The sequence below is a fragment of the Homo sapiens genome, chromosome 3 (assembly GCF_000001405.40).
Source record: "Homo sapiens chromosome 3, GRCh38.p14 Primary Assembly".
Taxonomy (NCBI): Eukaryota; Metazoa; Chordata; class Mammalia; order Primates; family Hominidae; genus Homo; species Homo sapiens.
In genome coordinates this window covers 29,431,471-29,446,713 of record NC_000003.12, presented here as the reverse complement: position 1 = coordinate 29,446,713, position 15,243 = coordinate 29,431,471, and the positions used below count along the sequence as shown (strand labels likewise).

The window sequence follows — 15,243 nt, the reverse complement described above, 5'->3', positions numbered from 1 at the left end:
ATATTGAAGAACTGAAATGCTTGGTATCCTTTTGGTTCAAAAACTTCCCTTTTACTATCAAAGCATACTATTATGACATGTTTATGCACTATAACTGTGTTTTTAAATTTGTTTTATGCTGTATTTTAATTTTAGTCTTTTAACTGCAACCTAAATTGTATGTATTTATTCTGATACCATGAATATTCATATTGTAAAATATACCAGTGTACTATGTATAGTGGTGATGATACACAATACTACAAGATAATATAAGGATCTATGGTTACTAAATACGTATAATCTCAGTTAATATACAAATAAGATAGGAATATAAAAATCAAAATATGTGCTTTTTGAATACAAGACTCTTAAAATTACAGGTGAATTTTATTTAACTATTCCTGCTATATAAAAATATGAATTACAATAAATGTTTTTGATTGCATAAGTGAGTAACAATAATGAACAATTATTGAGGGCTTAACATGTACCTGGAACTATTAAGCCCAGAAAGTCTCAATGACTTAATTAAGATTTCACAATGAGTAAGTGGTCAATTAGAACCCACAATGGACTCAAAATTCTGTGCTACTCTTGTGATGGTATTATGCCGTCTCTTTGTTTTCTTAAGTAGGATGATTTTAAATTGTGGACTTCTTAGAATATGATTATATTTTAAAAAATCTCTGCGGATGATAGAAATGTTTTATATCTTGATTGTTGTCGTGGCTACATAGGTACATGCATTTTCAAAACTCATCAAATCCTATGCTTATGATGAGTGCACTTAATTTTACTCCTCAATAATGTTGGCTTAAAAAACTAAAACAAAAAATCTATTTTCAAAAAATCTGTGGACATATTTACCGTGTAAAACAAAGTGCTTGTTTCTCAAGAGATACTACTGTGTTAGAGATATAACGAATATGACAACAGATAAGAAATAAAACAAAAATTTGTTTTTTAAAATTTTCTTTTTAAGGATAATTTTTAACTGTACCTTATTCTCAATCATATGATTAAACAATGTGTATATACCATACTACTGCCAATTTTCAGATAAAAAGCTTTCATTTTTATTATGCCAAATACACAGATATGCTCTGTGTGTTTTTTCACCAACAGTTTCTTATTGTGTGCCCCTAAAAGTCAAAGATTGCAAAGAGAAATCTGTGAAAAAACAAAATTCAGCAAACACCATTCAACGAGTCCAACTTACTTAAATTAGACATAGAATTAGCAGATTTGGTGGAACACTGTGATCTGTTTGACAGCTGAAACCTGACGGCTCAGGCAAAAATAAACAGTTTTTTTTTTTTGTCTCAGCAGCAATATTGAGTGAGTAAGCAAAGTATTGATCCTTATTTGTTTCTTTTGATTCAAGTTATCCTGAGGCTTCCCTTCAAAACTCTCCTTGGGATCTACACAATAAAAGAGCTTCATATTCAGAACCTTCCTTCTTTCACCTCAGTGGCACAACATTGGATGTAGCATCTAAGATAAAATGCTGTTTCCTGTATCTCCCAATATAAACTCAAACTCTACCTTAGAACAAGTTTTATGATGTAAGTCCAATAAAATCATTTTTATATTACTGATGAATTTGGGCTTCATTCTGTCATTAAATATTTATCAGTTACCACTTAAAAATCTGGAAGTGTACTAGGTACTAGGGGTAAAAAAATGAATTGAATAAATCTATTGTCCTCAAAAGTTTTCGGTTAAGGATACAGTACAGATTGGTAGGGAGTAGGGAGGGAAGGAAACAGACAGGAAAAGAAAGAAAGAGGAGTTACTGAAATGGAACAAGATAGAAATTGAGATAGTGACAGAGACAGAGATAGATGGAGATGATAGAGGAAACCAGAAGATCAAGGGAGGAATGTTAGGAAAGATGACTATTTTGGTATAGATGGAGCAAAAAAAAAAAAAAAAAAAAAAAAGGCATATATTTCCGCTTGAAAGAATTGTTGAGTGATGAAGAAAGGACCACTTCAAATGGCTTTTAGCTTGTACTTGTCTACAAAGACTTTCCTGCTCAAGTTTTCCAATGACCTCGATGTTGCCAAACCCAAATGTAACTTCTCTCTCCCTATATTTCTTGACTTCTCAGCAAGTATTCAACACATTTCATCATTCTGTTTTCTTTAAATACTTTCTTCTTTCAGCTGCTGTGGTATAGCACACTCCTGCACTCCTGGTTGTCCTTTACCATACTGATTGTTCCTTTATAAACTTCTTTCTTGGTTTCTCATTCTCTTAGAACCTCAGAATTCAAGTTGTGTGAACATTTTCTTTTATTGTTATACACACTCCCTATGTATGGATCATGGTTAAGAGATGGGGCTCTTAAACAAAACTTATTAATTTAAAGCCTGGATTTGCTAATTACCAGCTGTGTGACCTTGGGAAAGTCACTTAACTTCTTCATGTCATTGGTTTTTCACCTATAAAATGGGAATTGGCATGACATCTAAATGAGTTAACATATGTAATATGAAGTACTCACGTGCAAAATACTTAGAACAGTCTGTAGTACATATTAGATACCACACTATTGTCTCATCAATATGGATTTAAAAGCCATTTATAATGCTTATGGCTCCCATTTTATATCCTTTACTTTTTCACTTTGAAAACTAGAATCAGATATTAAACTCCCAATGCAAAGCTCATTTTAGATGTATAATACAGTCTCAAAAATAACAAGACTAAGAAGAGCTCTTGATTTCTGTCCACCCAAAGTTGCACTTTCCACAATCCTTTTCATTTTCTGAAATGGCTCCATATTCGCTCCAGCTAAGAGTTAAGGAGTCATCCCTCAAGATGCTCAAGCTAAGAGTTAAGGCGTTATCCCTAATTTCTCTTTCTCTTAACCCTTTTGTCATATGCCATTCATGAGTAAATGCTATCAAAACTATCTCCAAAATATATTCCAAATTCATCCCACTTAACCTCCTCTACCATTGTGATCTTATTCCAAGCCATCACCACCTCCTTCCTGTACTTCCACAAAAGCCTCCTTGCTCGTCTTCTTGCTTCTTCTCTTGTACTCCTCTAAAATCTATTCTTTGCAGAAGAATACATAACCTTTCTTACGTTCCTTGTATACAACAAGCTCATTTCTTTCTTCAAGCTTTGGCCAAATTCTTACATATGTCTGTAATGCATTATTTCTGAATATTATCTGCCTGACTCCTTCCTGCAAATGAAGTCTCACATTAAAGAGAACACATAGTCTAGAGTAACCTCCTAGTCATTACTTACAACCTGCTTTTCATGACATTTACATATTCTAATGTTTTTTAATTATTTATTCATATATCATTTTTATCCATTAGAATGCAAATTATATGGAAAAACTTACCAATCCTTAAGATATCTGCAGTGCTTGGTACACAGATGACAATCAATAAGTACGTTTGAATAAATGAGTAAAAAGACCATGGCAGTACTGAAGCAGACGAGCTATTGGGTATCATAAATATCAAACAGTTGAGGTCTTGGAAATTGATTCTAGACTGGGGAAAAGAGTTACCCCAAGATTTTTTATTTGGACCACTATTCACATAGAGAATAGTGGGATCCCTTAAAGAAGGGATAAGTCCAAGAATAACCCTCTTTGGACAATGAATTTGATAGCTCTTGGGTTACAAAACTGGAATTGTCTAGGGAATAATGAGATATGGATCCAGAACTAAACAAATAGTTGATGGTGGACAATATAGAATTATTAGTCATTAGAATAGCTGATGTTGTTTGTGTAATAAAGAGCAGACAGTTTATAGAGTGAAAAGAGGGGTCCAATCTCCAGAAAACTCCAAAATATTCAAGAGACAGGTAGAAGAAGAGAAAGTAGAAAGAATAATCTCCAAAAGGTAAGAGGAAATCCAGGCAAAAGGAATTTACCATCCATAGGAGAAGAAAGGAGGGGTCAACAGGGTCAAGTAACAGAGAGCTTAATTAAAATAAGGACTAAAAAGGGTCAGCTGTATTTATCAATTAAAAAATCACTGGACAAATAGAAAACCAGGATGCCATCTGAACTTGCCAGAGTCCCGCCCTTAAAACTCAAGTCCCTCAAATTTTCAGGCATTCAGCATGAGATCTGCCTAGAATTCCACCTCTCTGAGCTCCAGATGTTTACTCAGCACATCCAGAAAGAGTTGATCACATCTTTTTACATCTCCATCTTTTTTGTGCTACCATCAAGATCGTAAACTAAGTCAATTGGTCCTCTCAATGATTTTTTTATTTTTATTTTTCTCTTCTCTGTTCCAAAGATAGATATGGAAAAATATCATCGGCTATCAGGAATTTAAGTATATTTTTAAATTGATCATGAGATATGTAAACATTCAGCAGAAAATTCTTCAAAGTAATAAAAACAATAATAAATGAGTGATCAATGAATCAGTGGGACAATAATTTCTAGGATGCCCCCAAAACACTAGGAGATGTAAATTATTTTTTAAGACTCACTGGACTTTTGTTCACTAAACTATAGTCGGCAAAAAAATGTAAGTATATATAGAAATTTAATCATATGAGTCAAAATAGGAAGAGTTTCTTGCTTAATCATCAATTAAATGCAAACATTATTAAAAAGTAGAATGTTGAATAAATGTTTGACTTTTGGAAATTATATAAAGCAGGAAAGTAAGATTCTTCCAAGGACATCCTTGAAAACACTTCTAGAGGCATATTCCAGGGCTTTATTATCCATGTGCCTAATCTAAAATGTCAGTTTGTTATCAGAAAATCAAATTCATCCCCAAATTTTCACAATAATATTCATTTTTAATACTTCTGGATAATTGAAAGCACAGTGGTAGGTCCCATGAAATTGCTAGAGCCTATGAAAGTCAGAGTAAGAGAGCTAAAACAGGGGATTAAATTATGTTTTCCGATTTGTGTGAGCATCATTAAGTCTAAAAGTTCTCAATCTTTGCTACATACTAGAATTATCTGAGCAGGCTTTAAAAAATCCCAAAATCCAGGTTGACCCATACTGGTTAAATCAGAACACTTGAGGTCCAAACCTATTTTCTGAAGGTCCCTAAGGGATTCTCACGAGTAGTCATGGAACTGAGAACCTATGATTTATGCCACCCTTATTCTCATTATATGAATGTTTCAGTGATTACGAATATCGGCTTTGAAGTCAGATCCAGATTTTGAATCCTGGTGGCTATGGTGGCTGCATAAATTTGAACAAGTTTCTTAACCCTTTTGAGTATCAGTTTAAAGAAAGTATTATTCCCACTTCATAGGGAAGTTTTGAACATTAAATAATTTAAAAACTTAGTAGAGTATGAGGCATGTAATATACAATAACTGTGTTAATGTAAATATATAAATATAACAACCTATTATTAATGACAATTATTTAGTACTAATCAAATACTATGTCTAGTTTACAGCAGATGCTTGGCAAACATAATTTTGCCCAAATCTGAATGAATATACGTAACCCATTGTCAAATCTCTGCTGAATCAAGGAATTCCAACATCGTGTTTTGGGTCTTTAAAGCACTCTCTCATTTAAAATACACAAAGGCAGGGTTTAAAGATTCCAGTATTCACTTCCTGCTCACACCTGCCACCACATAGATTTATGACATCTCAAAAGCAGCTGCGTAATTTGAGTCTGACTTGCAGAAGACAGCTACTAATAAATTTCCTAGGGTCTTATTAGAGGAAACTTTTAAATCTTCAATGACACAGTAAGAAAGAACTCTAAAAATTTCCAGTCACATTTTTCTTATTTACTTGTTTACCCTGGAGTGCATGATGACTTGTTTTCCTTTAGTTGTATCTGAACAGTCTGACAGATTATTGTGACAAGGTTACTTTTAAACTGATAAAAGGTTTGATTGTGTCGGTGCATTTGTCAAAACTGTCTGACACCATGTATAATGGACTCTGCGCTCGGAGCCTGGATGGCACTTGAGTCTGGCTCTTACTATTCAGCGTTCAGCACGCACTATAATGAGACATCCAACAGGGTTGTGTAAAAGTCCGGGAGATTAGCTTGGGCAGACCCTTCGGCTCTCCAGCGCAAACACTTCTATTTCGTTCCTCTGGCTTTTCATTGTGGGTGTTTCCCCTCTCTTTTTAAATGTTAAAGTGACATTCAGAGTTTCATTTTAAAGGGGGAAATGCTAGGGTGTCATGACTTGAGCAAAGAAAACATTTACGGAGAAAAGTGTGGGGGCAGGGCAGTTGACTTTCCTGCTCTTCTGGTAAGGACTGGAAATATGTATGTACCTACCCAAGAGTTTCCCTCTATTTTCCTGCATTCTGTTTCAAGTGGCCTTAGCAGCGGCATGTTTACTTTATAATAGAAAAACAATGCACTCTGTTCCTTCACAATATTTTAATTAACTCCATAGCAGTCAATCACAGGAAAGTGGGGGCAATTGGCTGGGGCTTCCTGAGAACATTGTATTAAATCAAATTTATAAGCCACAAAATGGTTAGATAAAATATGTTGTAGATGTGGAAAATATAAATACAATAATGATTTTTTTCCATTGTAAATGCTACCCATTATGATGCACGTTTGATTTTATTTTTTAGGAACAATTTAAATGTGTTTCCAGGGCATATTCAGAATCATAAAATAGAAGTTACCAATTTCTTGGAAGGACAAAATATAACTTATATGTAAAAAATCATTACACTACAAATATTTTATCTGGCTCAAAAAAGTTACAATGCTCTCTCTCTCTTTCTTAAACCAAATCTATCTTCTCCGACTTCCGTCTGGTCTTCCTGAGATAAGCATAAAGGATATATATGATCCAAGTGTTCTGTCAGTAGTCTTCAACTGATCATCCATCCATGAGTAAATCTGTATAATCAGTTGGATTCCTAGTTTTTATTACATTGCCTTTAGTGCTTTTAATATTACAGCCATTTAATTGTTTAACAGTATATTGATGACCCGTTCAAGACTGGGTAAGAAAAAGGGGGGAGGGATAGCATTAGGAGATATACCTAATGCTAAATGACGAGTTAATGGGTGCAGCACACCAGCATGGCACATGTATGCATGTGTAACTAACCTGCACATTGTGCACATGTACCCTAAAACTTAAAGTATAATAATAATAAAAATAAATAAATAAATAAAAAGAGATTAACTAAAAATCAACTCATTTGGGTTCTATTCTGTGCTACTTTGCTGTTTCTTTTGAAGTTCATTTGGTTAATTGTTCCCATGTCCCTGCTTTTTAACGGAAAAAAGAATGCATATGACAAAATCTTTCACCACACATAATTTTTCTACCACCACTAATATTACTTCTCACACCCTCTTCTCTGAACAAAAAGCATTCTTCTTTCAGCTTTTCAACTATTCCTACTCTAATTGTTCCTTGATCTCAGAGGATCACTTCTCCGTACTCTGCAGCTGGAGTTACCTATTTGAAACAAAAATATAGCTATGCGAACTTCCTGTTTATGACAATTCAATGATTTCCTCCATTGTTCTTAAGATAAATCAAGCTTCTAACATCATCTCCAAAGGAATCATCTTGTCCTTTCGTGTTTTCTAGCTCATTTTGCCCCACACTTTACCTCTTTCTCTCTGCTATAGTCACGTGGCTTTTTCTTAGCCCTTTGTCCTTGGCATGCCCCCTCCAGCCCTTGGCTCTGCACACAATGTTTCCTTTACCTGGCTGCTCTTCCACTTTTTTCTAGATTAGTTAAATCTATTTATCCTTCTAATCTTAGCTCAATTGTCACTTCCTCAGAGATACCTTTGCTAATCGCCCTAACTAGGTCTAATCTTGTGCTAAAAAATCTGTTAGTATCATGCTCCTCTCTCTTTTGCACTTACAGTTGCAATTTTTTATCAGATCATATATTTAATTGATGCCCATTTTCCCTAGTAGAATATAATATTTCTCCTTTATCTAAATTTACTCACCACTGACTCCTCACCACAGGCATGCAGGATATAATCTGTAAATATTTCTTGATTGAGAACAAAATAAAGTTCCTTAAGGTGTCTCAAGAAAAAGACATTACAAGGTTTTTAACTATACTATTTTCTACGCTACGCACAGTATAATGTATTCATCCAAAACATAGGTACAACTAGATTTTTCCATAGAGTAAAATCATTCTTTATATTTATTGTTCTTCAGTCTTATCTTCTTTTCTTTGATTTTACTTGTGATCTGAACATAGAAGTTTTGATGATGAATGTGAATAGAATTCCTCAATAAGAATTTGCTCTCAGATTATATATTTAGAAATAATGCAATTTCTTTTTCTTTAATACAATTTTCTTACCGTTCATTAGCATTAACATGGATATAATATACTAATACCAGAAAATCCAATATGTCTATGCCTTTTTAAAAAAAGACAATATGCTGTTTTGTGTATCTGTTTTCTATTATTTTATTACAATGGATATTAGCAAATATTGCATTTCCTATAAGGAATATTAACTCTAAAAGTGCTTATAATTTCATAGAAATAAATATGGAAAATGAATCTTGATGGCAAGTTCATTTAAATCTACTAAAATTATCTGTTGTGTGAGTGAAATTATTTTAAAGTGTGAGATGAGGTACAGGAATGGAAAGTGATTTTAATCTTTAGAAGACTGTTAATGTAAAATGGTAACAAGCACTGTGAGAGGCCAACACTACGAGAGAGAGAGAGAGAGAGAGAGAGAGAGAGAGAAACAAGCAAGGTTTTACAAATGACCTGCATTGGTCTCTTACCAAAGGTTTTTTCAGCCATCAGGTCATACCCATGAAGCTGAATAAATTCTGACTGTGCCCCTGCCAACACTGCACGAGGGGATTGGAGAAAGATACAAAAGGTAATCTTGAGTAAGTCTGGCAGATAAATAATGAGGTCTTCAATCAAATATCAAAATTTTAGAATGAAGAAAACATAAAAGATTGTTGAGTTCAAATCCATTATTTTGTATATGGGGGAAACCAACGTTAAGAGGCAAAAAGTCATTACTCTAAGGCCAAAGACTCAGTTGATAGCATAGCCAAGATTGAAAGACAGATCTCTTAGTGCACAGTTATTTCCACTACATTATGTTGCCCAATCACATCAGTTCTTTAAGATTCTCTAGGAAAAATAATCTAAGCAATAAATCCCAGTTCTAGATCACTGCTGTAACAGGAGAACCCACAAACACTTTTACAATAACAATAAATGGGCCAGATCTTATTAGCTGACAAATATTAATATGAACAAGTAACTATTATCCTCTGTTCACTTAATATTCTTTATCAAATGCACATAAAAAACATTAACAAAACTTATTCCCTCAACAATGTTTCTGTGTTACCACATCTCTGAGTTAAAAATGGCAATATAGGCTTTTAAGTAATAATTTCCATTTACAAAATTCTGGCAATTCTATGCAGAAATGGATATTGACACAGCAATTCATAGTATGATGCTACATCAGTGGTGTGTTCATACAGCAGCTTTTCAATAAAATAAAATTTTAAAAAGCTCTGATTTGCAGGATGTGCTGATTCCTGTGTTATAAATACTCCCACAAGGGCCAATTTCATGCTACCAAGTCTGTAACAGATTGCTAACAAAATTCTTGAATATGTAACAATTGGCTCAAGTGTGTTAGTCAGAGCCAGCTCCAGCACACTGCTGATACTACAAGTAAACACAGAAATAATAAAAACCAACCCAGTCTTTTAAGAAAGAGGAAACTGAGGCTTAGAGGGAGGAAGTGATATGCCTCAAGATTACACAGTGGTTGAACAGGTTTTAACACTCAAAATTCCATCTCAACTACCCTCATCAATTAGTGAAACTTTATACAATAGAAATAGTTGGTGTTCTTCAAGACTGTTGAGAGAAGTGCTTCACAAAAGATCAACAACACTAAAGATCCTGTTTGAAATACATATTCTTGGGCTCTACCCCAGACCTAGTGAATCATAATTCCTTGGGCCCAGACATCTGTGTGTCAACAGGCTCTACAAGTGGTAAAGACCAGTAAGAAAGAACCTTTCCCTAATAGCTACCCTTAAAAATAAATGAGTTTCAAATATAAATTAAGAACAATAGCTATTTTTCTTTTTACTTCACCTGAACCTTCTATCATAAAGTCTACAATGTTTCACATTTTCAAAGACCTTGCTTTTCAAAATAGAGTTTAGATTTTTTAAACAACAAAAGAAAAAGTTGAGTTATTTATCTTCTGATTCTCAACCTCAATATTCTATGGGCCAAAATCTAACGTATATTTGTATGTCTGAGCTTTGGCACATTTAACATTTTTTGAACAAATTTAAAAATATATATATTTATCTTTCAAGGTTCCGCCTTGCCTTTTTCACAAATCAAGGCACTCAGTAGCAACAGGGGACTCCAACCCTAATGTACCTACTGTTTTGTCAAACAATTAGACAGTTATGTATTTGTATTTTGGTTTATCTGCCACTTTCTGTTGTGTTGATATGTATTCCCAATCTTAAAATCTAGGACAAAGGCAAATAAATATTTTCTGCTTTGTTTTCCTCTTTCAATATTTTAGAGGTCAGAACATTTACAAAATAAATATCCTCATGGCTTTTTAAAAAGCATTGCAAAAGAGAAAAATAACAATTGAGTAATAGTTTTTTAAAATTTAAAAATACACAGCTAAGTCACAATCAAATGACAAATATATGTTCTAATATTATTTTGAAAATAATCAGATACTAACCAAAAAATACAGGTCTACGATTCGTCTTCTTTTTTTTTTTTGAGACGGAGTCTCGCTCTGTTGCCCAAGCTGGAGTGCAGTGGCGTGATCTCGGCTCACTGCAAACTCCGCCTCCTGGTTCACGCCATTCTCCTGCCTCAGCCTCCTGAGTAGCTCGGACTACAGGCGCCCGCCACCATGCCCGTCTAATTTTTTTGTATTTTCAGTAGAGATGGGGTTTCACCGTGTTAGCCAGGATGGGGTTTCACCGTGTTAGCCAGACCGTGTTAGTCAGGTCTCGATCTCCTGACCTTGTGATCCGCCTGCCTCAGCCTCCCAAAGTGCTGGGATCTACAGGCGTGAGCCACTGTGCCCGGCCAGGTCTATGATTCTTAATTCATTATTAATTTTATGGGAAGGTGAACTTAAATATGTTTTTATTTGCACAGAAATAAGAGAATTAATGACATAAGTGTTGGTAGATAGTAGATTCATGAAAACATTTTTGAAGAGGATTTAATCATTTCCAAGCTTCCAAGCAAATATAAAACTACTTAGTGAGTGTGGTCCTTGGCCTTGGTGGGAGATAGCTTCACTGGACTAGGCAGCAGATGTTTTCAAAGAAACTAGAGGATTAGTCTTATGCTTCTCCAAATACATGGTCCTGGCTGAACGGACATTTACCAAGCACTGGCCAGAAAAGCTTTGTAACACAAGAGGTAATCCTGAAATCCACCGCTTCTGAGTTTTTGAGATTCCTTTCACTAATACTTCTCAAGAAAATCGTTTATTTCATGAGACTCATCAATGACTCCACTGGCCACATGGTTTGAGAGTGTAACTCTATTACTTGATCTTCATCTTGCAGGTCATATATCTATGAATCAGCCAGCATTTCCATGTATATGTGCTCAAGAACTTCCACTCAACAACAAAAAGTAAACCAATTCCACTCCCCAAAATAAACTAGCATTGAATCTCAAATTTAAGTCCTGTTTGTAAAGAAGAGTCTTCCTCACTGAGACACCAGTGGATGAGTACATTGACTGAAATAACACATCCTGCCCACCAAGGCAAGTATGGGAGTGAGAAACAGCACGGGCAGCAGAAGGACACTTACGGTTGGCACAGCTTGATTAGGTCCTGGTCAGTGGTGCCTGGTGGGAGGCCTCGAATGTACAGGTTGGTTTTACTCAACTGTTCCCCGCTGCTGTTGTTGCTGCTGTTGTTGCTGCTGCTGTTTGTGCTGGGGCTGGGAGGAGCCATGGGGTGGGGAGCTGGTGCATAGGACTGCTGGAAACAGAAAAAGCTGTTACTGGAAAAACAAAAGCCAGCACCTATTCACAGGCCAGCAGCACAACTTGAAATCAATGTAAGCTATGCGTCTTCTCCAATACACACACGTACATACACACACACATTTATATCACTACTCTCTGTTGCATTCAAGAATATCGTCCCCCGCCCTGGCCCTCCATTCAGATCAGCATAAGTCAGCCATAAAAGGGACAAAAAACAGTTATCAGGTGCTCCTGGCAGTAGCATATGGCATTTGAACTTGTCTCTGACTATAGTGACTCTCCTTAGATTGGTAAAGTAGCATATCTTCTTCCCTAATAAAATAAAACAGTCACTTTTGGCAATAAACTCTGACCCTAGCTTACCTTTAATACCCAAGCATCTTTGGTTTCCCTCTATTACCTTGTTCCCTCCTTTTCTCCAAAGAAACTCCCTCCTATTGTTTTCCTCAACATTACTGTTCAGCATAATTCCTGATACAAAGAAATCATTCCTATAAATAGTGATTCTATGAATGACTGAATGAATGAAACCATCTTAGCTCTTTCTCATATTCCCAAAATCGTTTCTTTACATTGAATGTTCCTTGTTTGCAAGATGGAGCTACCATTCTTTCCTTACCTTCAAGATCCTCTTTAAATTACTCTAATCCAGGATCCCAACCTAGGCACTATAAACCATCTGGACAGGATAATTATTTGTTGTGGGCACTGTCCTTGTTCACTGTAGGATGTTTAGTAGCATCCTTAGCCTCTATCTCCCAGATTCTAGTAATGCCCATTCCCCAGATGTGATCACCAAAAAATATTCCCAGACATTGCCAAATGCTCCCTGGTGCTGGTAGGAATCTCCCCCTGGGAGAACCGCTGTTTTAATTCATTACATTATTATATGGCAAAATTAAAATGATAAAATGACTCCCAGAAAATTGCAATAAACAATGTGAGGGTTTTTAAAATTATACATACCAGAATTCATAGATATATATTTACTAATTATGCTTCTTTTTTTATACAGGCATATCTTCAAAAGTTCTCAACTAACACTGACTGTCTAGGGTTGAGTCCCTGCTGTGCCTCTTACTGGCTATGTGACCTTTAAGTGGTGCCTTAACCTCTCTGAGAAGCAGCATTCTCATTAATACGAAGGAGATAATAACGGTACTCTCTTAAGTTAGAAGATTTTTTCAAAAAGTTGAGTTAATGCAAACAAAATGGTTCCTAGAAATTAATAAGTGTACAATATTAGCAAAAATAACAATAATATGAATATTCATGGTTTGTATCTGTCTTGTAGTAATATCAACCTATATAACTGTCCCAGATTTTCTCAGTTGTGACCCCAAATGCTACCCAAAAACAAAATAAGCACATTCATCAAGATTCCAGTGGGGAAACTTTGGGCTGGGTTCTCATCTGAAGATGAAGAGTCTTTAGCTATTTTATCAGATTTGGGAGGTATGTCTTTGTCAAACAGCACATTTTTGGCACATTAGCAAGTAAGTATTCAGATGAGGTCAAACTATAATACATTTTGTGCCATGGCATAAAGGTAAGGAATAATATAATCTGAGGGAAAAAAATGTACTTTGTGTCTCTACAGTTTCATTCTAAAAAAAAAAACCTCAAGAAACATATTCAACATGAAAATAGTATGTCTTTTCATCCCAAAACTTCTGCTGCTGACCAAATTGACAGGCCTAGTGGGTCTGGGTAAATAATGAGATGTCCTGGAAATAGAACTGACTGTGGCCTTAATCACAGACAGCTAAACTTTGTATGTAGAATCCTGCAGTGGCTTCCCACCAAACTTATTACAAAGTCCTGAAAGCTCCACATGATTTTTTATCAGACTTTTTCTCCAATCACTTCTTAGACCAGACACTGTGGTACTCCCAACTTTTCACCCTTCCCATTCTCAGCCCCACTCTACTCGGCTGGCTCTAATCCATCCTTCTGATTTCAAATTAAGTATCATCCTACAACACTCTGGTATTTTCCTTCACAGCTTTCAGTGTATTGGGTCTTATTTAATTATTTTTGGCTTATTTAATGCCTGCCTCTAACAGTAATCTGTGTTTCCTGAGAGCAGGGAATGTGTCAAACCATACATGAGTATGTCATGTATGTAGCCTAGTGCCTGATATACAGTAGGTGCTTGAGAAATATTTAGGTTACTATATATATAATAAAAAATGGAATAAAGACAGCACTTAGCATTTAGAGAAAGAAGGCCAAGTTTTAGCAGTACCCAGCTTCATTTCTTGCAATAGTAATCTGTTTTACACCTTCCAGGATTTTAAATTTGGTCAGTCCCTATTTCCCACTGTCTATAAGACAATGTGCTTTAGATTCAGTATATCACATGCAACCCATTGCACCTATTCTCTCATTCCCAATTCCCCACACCAGCCACCCAATACAATTACCCCATATCTTTCAATGTTGCTGTTGTTCTGCCAGTCTCCATGCTAGAAAACTTGGTGTTAGCTTTATCTGCTTCTTAATTCTAAATCTCAGAATACAGTCAGCCACCAAAATCTCAAACAGCCTCCTGGAAACCTCCTTTTCTCTGAATTCCCATTGTTTCCCTCAGCCAGAGACTGTACCATCTCATATGCAGCGAGCTTCAAGCTTTCTATCATGTTTCACCTTTTATGCCCCTTATTTTTGGGAAGGCAGGGTAGGTTGGGAATAAGAAAATTGTCCAGACTGGGCACTATGGTTCACGCCTGTAATCCTAGCACTTTGGGAGGCTGAGATGGGTGGACTGCTTGAGCCCAGGAGCTCGAGACCAGTCTGGACAACATGGCAAAACCCCATCTCTATAAAAAATACACAAAAATTAGCTGGGTGTGGTACCATGTGCCTGTGGTCTCTGCTATCCAGGAGGCCGAGGTGGGAGGTTCACTTGAACCCTAGAGGCTGAGGCTGCAGTGAGCCATGATGGCGCCACTGCACTCTAGCCTGGGCAACAGAGCAAGACCCAGTCTCAGAAAAAATAAAAAGTAAAAATAACAAAGAAAGAAAATTGTGCAACGCAAACACACATTGACCAACAGTTGAGAAATGCACAAGTGAAAGAATAGACATGACAGGAGCAAAACCCAGAGCCTCCAGATTTCTTCTTTGAAATAAACGTTTTTTGGCTGGGCGCGGTGGCTCACGCCTGTAGTCCCAGCAGTTTGGGAGGCTGAGGAGGGCGGATCACAAGGTCGGGAGATCAAGACCATCCTGGCCAACATAGTGAAACCCCATCTCTACTAA

At 36.0% G+C, this 15,243-nt stretch overlaps 1 protein-coding gene across 12 annotated transcripts in view; it reads right to left on the bottom strand.

Moving 5' to 3' along the window:
• RBMS3 (RNA binding motif single stranded interacting protein 3) overlaps window positions 1-15,243 on the bottom strand; it is a 729,325-nt gene that overhangs the window by 563,682 nt on the left and 150,400 nt on the right. For 8 of the 12 annotated variants that reach the window (XM_005265061.3, XM_017006180.2, NM_001003793.3 and 5 more), the window contains exon 2: window positions 11,799-11,971. In XM_005265061.3, the coding sequence (XP_005265118.1) occupies window positions 11,799-11,971 (173 nt within the window). The remainder of the gene's footprint in view (window positions 1-11,798; window positions 11,972-15,243) is intronic. The other 4 variants (XM_017006179.2, XM_017006181.2, NM_001003792.3 and 1 more) reach the window with 1 other exon arrangement.